Here is a 7,092-nt window from a genome sequence, read left to right on the forward strand (position 1 = left end):
AGGAAGGAAAAGAAAGAAAGAATAAAGAAAGAAACTTCTGCAGATGTACTGGGAAGAGGATACAAAGTAGCAGGAACAGCAGAAACTAAGAGATGAGGGAAAATGGGTGTGGTCAGGACACTGTTCAGTATGACTGGGCTCCAGTTAGAGGAAGAGGTCAAAACTAGGCTGGGCACAGTGGCTCACGCCTGTAATCCCAGTATTTGGGGAGGCCATGGTGGGAGGATCACTTGAGGCCAAGAACTCAAGACCAACCTGGGCAACATAGCAAGACCTCATCTCTAAAAAAATGCAAAAAATAAAATTAGCTGGGCACAATGGTGCATGCCTGTCATCCTAGCTACTCAGAGGCTGATGTGGGAGGATCACTCGAACCCAGGAGTTCCAGGCTGCAGTGAGCTACATGATTGCACCACTGCACTCCAGTGACAGAGTGAGATCCTTTTTTTTTTTTTTTTTTTGAGACGGAGTTTCGCTCTTGTAGCCCAGACTGGAGTGCAATGGCACGATCTCGGCTCACTGCAACCTCCGCCTCAGCCTCCCGAGTAGCTGGGATTACAGGTTTGCGCCACCATGCCCAGCTAATTTTTGTATTTTTAGTAGAGACCGGGTTTCACCATGTCGGCCAGGCTAGTCTTGAACTCCTGACCTCAGGTGATCCACCCAGCTCGGCCTCCCAAAGTGCTGGGATTACAGGTGTGAACCACCGTGCCTGACAACCCTGTCTCTTAAACATAAAAGTGAGCCATGACCCGGGGCTCAGATCACACAGAGCCTTGAGTGCTTGGCTGAGGGGCTTGGACCTTCTCCCAGGGCGGCTGGGGAGCCACAGGAGGGCTGTGAAGAAGGAAAGTGCAGGGCCAGCTCTGGGGCCTGGGGAGGATTAACAAGGGAGACTGGAGGCCAGGAGGCTTCAGGGAGGATCCAGGGGGAAGGATGAGGCCTGAGCTGGGGCAGTGACCTCTATAGGACTGGAGGGGCACAGCCCAATGTCCCTCTTCCCTCCCAACACCCACATATCCCCAGTCAGAGACAGAACAAAGGCAAAAATCTTTTATTTCAACTTTTAGGGAAGCCAGCAGCCTCTTCTCCACATCTCAGAAGCACAAGGAGACACCCTGATCAAGAAGGCACCGGCAGAAGCGGCATGGCCACCATTAATTGCTGAGGAGACAGAGCAAAGAGAATGAGGATCCAGGACCCAGAAGTCCAGCTCCCAGCCCCCCTCCCTGGGAGACAGAGTCCAGGCCCCGCCAATGTCCCAGCTTCCCCAAGCCCCTCCCCCAGGCACCTTTCTCTTCCGGTGGAAGGCTGCCTTGCTCTCATGAGAGTTGATCTGCAGCGGGATATAAGCGTCTAGATGATACAGCTGCTGGGGGCCCCCCATCACCAGGCGGTTCTCCCCGATCTCCAGCGACAGCCCCAGGGCTCCATCCTGGAGAGGTGGCGGAATCAGGTCACCCTCCCCAGCAACAGGATGATCACCTGGACCAGGCATGGTAGCCTCACACGCTGGGAAACTATATTTGAAGGGTCTAATCTCCCAGGAAGAGACAGAAGACAGCAATTACAAGTCTCAACGACCGAGCACTTACAATCCCTTGGGCGCCCTCAGGACAGCACCAGAAGGTGGCCTGTGGGCCTCCTGGCAGAGAGGACGCAACTGACAAGTCCAGCAACAACCCCTTGTCACTCACACTCAGAGACAGTCCCTGACCTTTCCAGACCTCATTCCCCTGCTCTGGTCCAGCGCGCAAAACTCACCAGTTTGGGGAGGTCAACTTCGGCCAAGAGGAGGTCGGGGGCTTCCAGCCACAGGTTCAGGTGAGGCTTTTCAGGCCTGAGGAGGAACAAGGTCCAGGGCTGAGCACAGCTGCCAGGTCTTTGCCTGGCGTGCTGTCCCTTTTCTCCCTCCAACCAGCCCTATTGGCCTCAGGACGCCTTCCCAGTCAGGAGTTCTCTCTCCTCCCTCTCTCAGTGCCCAGGGCCCCAGGACATCACCCAGTGTGGGAGGATGGAGGGAGGGATTCCCAAGAGCGTTGAGGAAACATCAGACCGGGGATCTACCGAAGGCCCACCCTGACTCAGCTCTCCCGGGGGCGGGCGTGTACAGGTCCCCCAGCTCCTGGATCCGAGGACGCTGCTCCGAGCGGATGTTCTGCTGCGAGATGGAGCCCATGAATGGCCGGTTCTTCATCATGCGCCATTCTGAGGGTCAGGAGCGCCGTCAAACATCGTACAGGTCAGGGTTCCCTTTGTGGGGGCCAAGAGCCTCCCGGGATAGGCTCCACCGGCTCACCAGGACTCTTGGGGTCTGACCACACCCCGCAGGCTTGGCTCCAGGAAGCCCGCCCACCTTAGTCACGCCCCTCCCATGATATGCCCCAATAAAACCCACCCCTGGAGATGTTCCTGGCCCCGCCCCCTCAGGGCGTCCAGACTCCACCCCCTCCTAGTAGCACAGACTCCAGGGCACCCTGCCCAAGCCAGCCCCTCCTCTCCTAGGGGTGTTCCCCAAACCGCTCCTGGCTCCACTCTTTCCCGAGGGCCCAGGACCTGCCCCTCACCCGGATTCAGCTGCAAGTTGTATTTGTCCTCAAGGCCCTCCCTGGCGATGGTGATCACGAGCTCCCGCAAGAAATCGCTGTTCTGGGGTGACAGAGAGGGAAAAGACAGGCGGTGGCGGGGAGGGTAGGGGTAGAGACCCCTGCCCAGGCCTCAACCGCAGCCCCGCCCCCAACCTGCATCCTCCGGTAGAAGTCGCTGTTGACAGCTACGTCGTAGGCGGTACATCCCTGGCCTTCTGCGGGGAGAAAAAGGGGGTGAGGACCCCCCAGCCCTCTGCAGGAAGCCCACAGCCCAGACCCAGACAGGGAAGAAACATTCAGGGACAGCGGCCGTAAGAAGCAGAGAGAGACATAAGGAAGTGAGAGCTGGGCACTCACTTTCCGCTCTGGACTCTCCGCCCAGCCTCCTCCCTGGCCTCTTATCTCCTGTCCATCAGTGTGATGTCACTAGAGTTGACCCTATCCCTTCCCTGCTCACAGCTCTTCTCTGGCTCCCCAGTGCTCCCAAGTGAAGGTCTGAGCCCCACAAGCCTGGCGTTGGAGACCCTATGTGGTCTGCCCCTCCCACCTCTGGAGAAGACCTCATTCTTCTAGCAACCTCGGCCCACTGAATTTCTTTCAGTCACTCTCCATTACTGGCTGATCCAATCCAATCATTCTCTCCCAGCTCTGGGCCGCTCTACCTAGAACCTTCTTCTGTCTGCCTGCTGAACTCCTCCTGTTCCTTCAAATCTTATCCCACACCCCCTCCTCCAGGAAGCCTTCCCTGACCCCTTCATGTGGGTGACGAGCCCTCTCAAGGCTGTGCTGGGTGCCCCCCTCCAAAGCAGCGTGAATCACACCCTATTGATACTGCATCCATCTCCTTGAGCCCCACCCATGACAGCGAGTTTCTGGAACGTGGAATGTGCATTTCATAGGTCCTTATTCCCCGGGGCACTGCCTAGAGCTTGGTCCCAGAAAGCTTCAAGAGACATATTGAAAAAAGGATATAGAGGCAGAAACAGGGACAGAGGTGAGGCAAGACAGAGATGGAGAAAGGGAGAAGGGCAGAGGAGAAAACAGGATGAAAGAGAGAGCCGCAGGCTGGGTGCAGTGGCTCACACCTGTAATCCCAGCACTTTCGGAGGCTGAGGCGGTGGATCACCTGAGGTCAGGAGTCTGAGACCAGCCAGGCCAACGTGGCGAAACCCCGTCTCTATTAAAAATACAAAAATTAGCTGGGTGTGGTGGAGCACACCTGTAATCCCAGCTGCTTGGGAGCCTGAGACAGGAGAATCGTCTGAACCTGGGCAACAAGAGCGAAACTCCATCACAAGAAAAAAAAAAAGAAAGAAAGAAAAAAGAAGGAGACAGCAGGCTCAGGACTAAAGCCAGGAGATCCGCTAATGCACGAAGAGCACTCTGCCCAGGCCTCCCGGCCCTGGAGTGGGGCATGGAAAAGTGCCAGCCTGGCCAGGTGGCAGAACCAGGACTGCCCGGGTGTGGGATGTCCAGGGCACTAGAGATCTACCATAGGGAAAAGAATCAGATCGAGGGGCCAGATCTCCAGGAGCTGAGGGAGGAGGGTCCTGGGCCCAGGATTCTTGGGTTCTAGGGAAGAAGGGGCCTAGCGGGCCAGACTCCTGGGTCCTCTGAGGGCACTGACTTGCATCCAGTTCTGCATGAGGCTCTCCCAGACTCATGGGGATGCGAAACCCAGCTTGGTCCTCCTCTAGCATCTGAAGCAGCTCCTCCTCGGTCACGTCGGCGGGAGGAGGGATAGAGGGGGAGTGGCAGATGTTGATGAAAACCTTCCCTTCCGAGGAGTTGGTCTTTATGCAGAAACCTGGTGGGAGTGGGTTAGTCATGACAATCCTTTTCTGCACAAGTCCCAGTCCCCATCCATTGTCTCCAGGCTCTGTCTCTTTTCCTTTTGCCCTGTCCCCCTTTTTTGTTCCACTCCCCACCCGAGATCCCTCACTTCTCTTTTTTTTTTTTTTTTTTGAGACAGACTCTCACTCTGTCACCCAGGCTGGAGTGCAGTGGCGTGATCTCGGCTCACTGCAACCTCCACCTCCCAGGTTCAAGCAATTCTCATGCCTCAGCCTCCCAAGTAGCTGGGATTATAGGCGCCCACCACCACGCCCGGCTAATTTTCGTATTTTTAGTAGAGATGGAGTTTCACCATGTTGGCCAGGCTGATCTCAAACTCCTGCCCTCAGGTGATCCTCCCGCCTTGGCCTCCCAAAGTGCTGGGCTCCCGGCCCCCTCTCTTCTTTGTTTTCTCCTTGTTTGTTTTTTGAGACAGGGTCTCACTGTGTCACCCAGGTTGGAGTGCAGTGGTACGATCTTGGCTCACCGCAGTCTCTTCCACCTGGCTCAAGTGAGCCTCCCACCTCAGCCTCGTGAGTAGCTATGACTACAGGCACGCACCCACCAAGTCCAGCTAATTTTGTTTATTTTTAGTAGAGATGAGGTCTCACTATGTTGCACAGGCTGGTCTTGAATGCCTGGCCTCAAGCAATCCTTCCACCTCGGCCTCCCAAAGTGATGGAATTACAGATGTGAGCCACTGTGCCCAGCCTCTCTTCCTATCTTTGTTGTTGTTGTTTGTTTCGTTTTGTTTTTGAGACAGAGTCTCGCTCTGTCACCCAGGCTGCAGTACAGTGGTGCGATCTCCACCCACTGCAACTTCTGCCTCTTGGGTTCCAGCAATTCTCCTGTCTCAGCCTCCCCAGTAGCTGGGACTACAGGCACGTGCCACCGCACCTGGCCTCTTCCTATCTCTGATTCTCTGGCCCCCTACCTACTCCTACTCTGTCCTCCAACTCCTTTCTGTCCTAGGATGATCTCTGTGGGTGTCTGCTCACCCCACCCCCACCCTAGGCCTTTATTTTCGTGTCTCTTTCCTTCCTCCTCTCTCTGTCCTCTCCCTGGGTCTCCTGTCCCTCTCTCTCCGGTGTCCTTTCTCACCAGGCTGAGGCTGGATTTGTGTCGATTCTGGTCTGGTTGTCTGGGCTTGCTGGAGCTCCTTCGAGGCCTGTATAAAGGAAAACTACCTCCAGGCTCGGAGTCTGTGCCATCAGACCCCTCATTTGTTCCTCAAATGGAGCAATTCTTATGCATGAGAGCTGTGGATAACGCGAGAAATTAGACGGTTTAGGTCCCCTTTCTCCTTTGAGAACTAGAAGAACAACCCCAACCCCATTCCCATTTCTTTTTTTTTTTTTTTTTTTTTGGAGACGGAGTCTCACTCTGTCGCCCAGGCTGGAGTGCAGTGCCGAGGTCTCGGCTCATTGCAAGCTTCGCCTCCCGGGTTCACGCCATTCTCCTGCCTCAGCCTCTCCAGTAGCTAGGACTACAGGTGCCCGCCACCACGCCCGGCTAATTTTTTGTATTTTTAGTAGAGACGGGGTTTCACCGTGTTAGCCAGGATGGTCTCGATCTCCTGACCTCGTGATCCGCCCGCCTCGGCCTCCCAAAGTGGTGGGATTACAGGTGTGAGCCACCGCGCCCGGCCCCCCACTCCCATTTCTTAGCAAACTTGAAGCCCATTAACCTCAATTCCCCGAGGCCTGGTTCCCGCCTTAGTGCATTCTGGGAACTGCAGTCCCATCTTTGAGCACCCCGCCAAAATCCCCGAATACTCAAGGATCCAGGGGTCCGGTCACTGCACCTGCAGCAGCAGCTCCTCAAATCGCGCCGAATCAGCACCGATCGCCTCCGCCTCGCTTAGCCCCATTCCCAGCAGCTTCGGGTTCGCCATGGCCCTGGGAAAGAGATCTAGGCGTCCTCGAGACCCTCAACGTGGGAAACTTTGCCCAGGATCCGAACCCCAGTGCCTGCTCTGGCCCTCAATCGACTCCGGATACCTACTATCCTGTTCAAAAACCTAAGACTGGCCTAAGACTACATTTCCATTCAAGACCGAACACCATCGTCAAATCCGTGGGGAATATGTGTCTCTAGACGCACTACCCTCCGTCCTACGTGCCGAACTGTAAACGAAGCCACACTTCCGGTCTATCGGTAAACACAGGACTGGAGTATGCCACACTTCCGAGTACCCCAGTGTTCATTCACAAGCTGGTATCGCGTTATCGACAAGCCACGCCCCTCGCATCAATCAAAAATAAACCCCAAGGCGGATCCCTGAGTGCCACACTTCCTGTATCTATGAAAGCCACACTTCCGGCTGGGCGCTGTGGCTCCTACCGGTAGTCCCAGCACTTTGGAAGGCCAGGGCAAGAGGATCGCTTGAGGCCAGGAGTTCGAAACCAGCTTGGGCAATACAATGAGATAACGTCCCACACCCCATCTCTTAAAAAAAAAAAAAAAGCGCCAGACTTCCACTCTTTCCACAACCAAAACTGGCCCCCTTACTTTGCAGTGAAGGTTGCATTTTCCAAACCTTAATCTCAATGTCCATCCTAAAAGGTACCCTTTTTATCTTTGAATTATCACTTCCTGCCAGCTCTAGATCCTAATACGTCCAGATCTAGACCCGCCAGGTCTAGATCTAGATCTAGACCTCTAGTCAATA

At 55.2% G+C, this 7,092-nt stretch overlaps 1 protein-coding gene across 4 annotated transcripts, besides 4 other annotated features; it reads right to left on the reverse strand.

Moving 5' to 3' along the window:
* Positions 1-1,038: 1,038 nt before the first annotated feature.
* Positions 1,039-6,555, reverse strand: PIH1D1 (PIH1 domain containing 1). Of its 4 annotated transcripts, NM_017916.3 has the most exons (9): positions 6,226-6,555; positions 5,523-5,589; positions 4,216-4,395; positions 2,742-2,803; positions 2,568-2,649; positions 2,079-2,208; positions 1,765-1,840; positions 1,292-1,435; positions 1,039-1,164 (listed from the first exon to the last, which is right to left on the reverse strand). In NM_017916.3, the coding sequence occupies exons 1-9, from the start codon at positions 6,313-6,315 to the stop codon at positions 1,123-1,125; spliced, it is 873 nt and encodes a 290-aa protein (NP_060386.1). In that variant the 5' UTR covers positions 6,316-6,555; the 3' UTR covers positions 1,039-1,122. The 4 variants fall into 4 exon arrangements, with proteins under 4 accessions (NP_060386.1, XP_024307338.1, XP_047294980.1 ...); XM_047439024.1 differs by lacking the exon at positions 1,039-1,164 and having other exon boundaries at positions 1,397-1,535; XM_024451570.2 differs by lacking the exons at positions 2,742-2,803; positions 5,523-5,589; positions 6,226-6,555.
* Positions 2,359-2,448: a silencer, noted in NCBI's record as "silent region_10915". NCBI's record gives its function as "represses an Ori minimal core promoter by ATAC-STARR-seq in GM12878 lymphoblastoid cells {active_cell/tissue: GM12878}" and the evidence as "EXISTENCE:reporter gene assay evidence [ECO:0000049][PMID:35858748]".
* Positions 6,183-6,861: an enhancer, noted in NCBI's record as "H3K27ac-H3K4me1 hESC enhancer chr19:49954699-49955377 (GRCh37/hg19 assembly coordinates)". NCBI's record gives its function as "activates a minimal SCP1, AML or CMV promoter by ChIP-STARR-seq in naive H9 embryonic stem cells {active_cell/tissue: H9 hESC(naive)}" and the evidence as "EXISTENCE:reporter gene assay evidence [ECO:0000049][PMID:30033119]".
* Positions 6,486-6,765: an enhancer, noted in NCBI's record as "active region_14939". NCBI's record gives its function as "activates an Ori minimal core promoter by ATAC-STARR-seq in GM12878 lymphoblastoid cells {active_cell/tissue: GM12878}" and the evidence as "EXISTENCE:reporter gene assay evidence [ECO:0000049][PMID:35858748]".
* Positions 6,776-6,825: an enhancer, noted in NCBI's record as "active region_14940". NCBI's record gives its function as "activates an Ori minimal core promoter by ATAC-STARR-seq in GM12878 lymphoblastoid cells {active_cell/tissue: GM12878}" and the evidence as "EXISTENCE:reporter gene assay evidence [ECO:0000049][PMID:35858748]".

The sequence above is a fragment of the Homo sapiens genome, chromosome 19 (assembly GCF_000001405.40).
Source record: "Homo sapiens chromosome 19, GRCh38.p14 Primary Assembly".
Classification (NCBI taxonomy): Eukaryota; Metazoa; Chordata; class Mammalia; order Primates; family Hominidae; genus Homo; species Homo sapiens.

What these genes read in the sequence shown, in the direction of transcription:
- PIH1D1 (NM_017916.3), bottom strand. Translation starts at nt 6,315, where the DNA reads ATGGCGAACCCGAAGCTGCTGGGAATGGGGCTAAGCGAGGCGGAGGCG. An exon ending in AAGTTGACCTCCCCAAACTG is followed by an intron (nt 1,436 to 1,764) that starts GTGAGTTTTGCG and finishes CCACCTCTCCAG; the next exon opens with GATGGAGCCCTGGGGCTGTC. An exon ending in CCTTCCACCGGAAGAGAAAG is followed by an intron (nt 1,165 to 1,291) that starts GTGCCTGGGGGA and finishes CTGTCTCCTCAG; the next exon opens with CAATTAATGGTGGCCATGCC.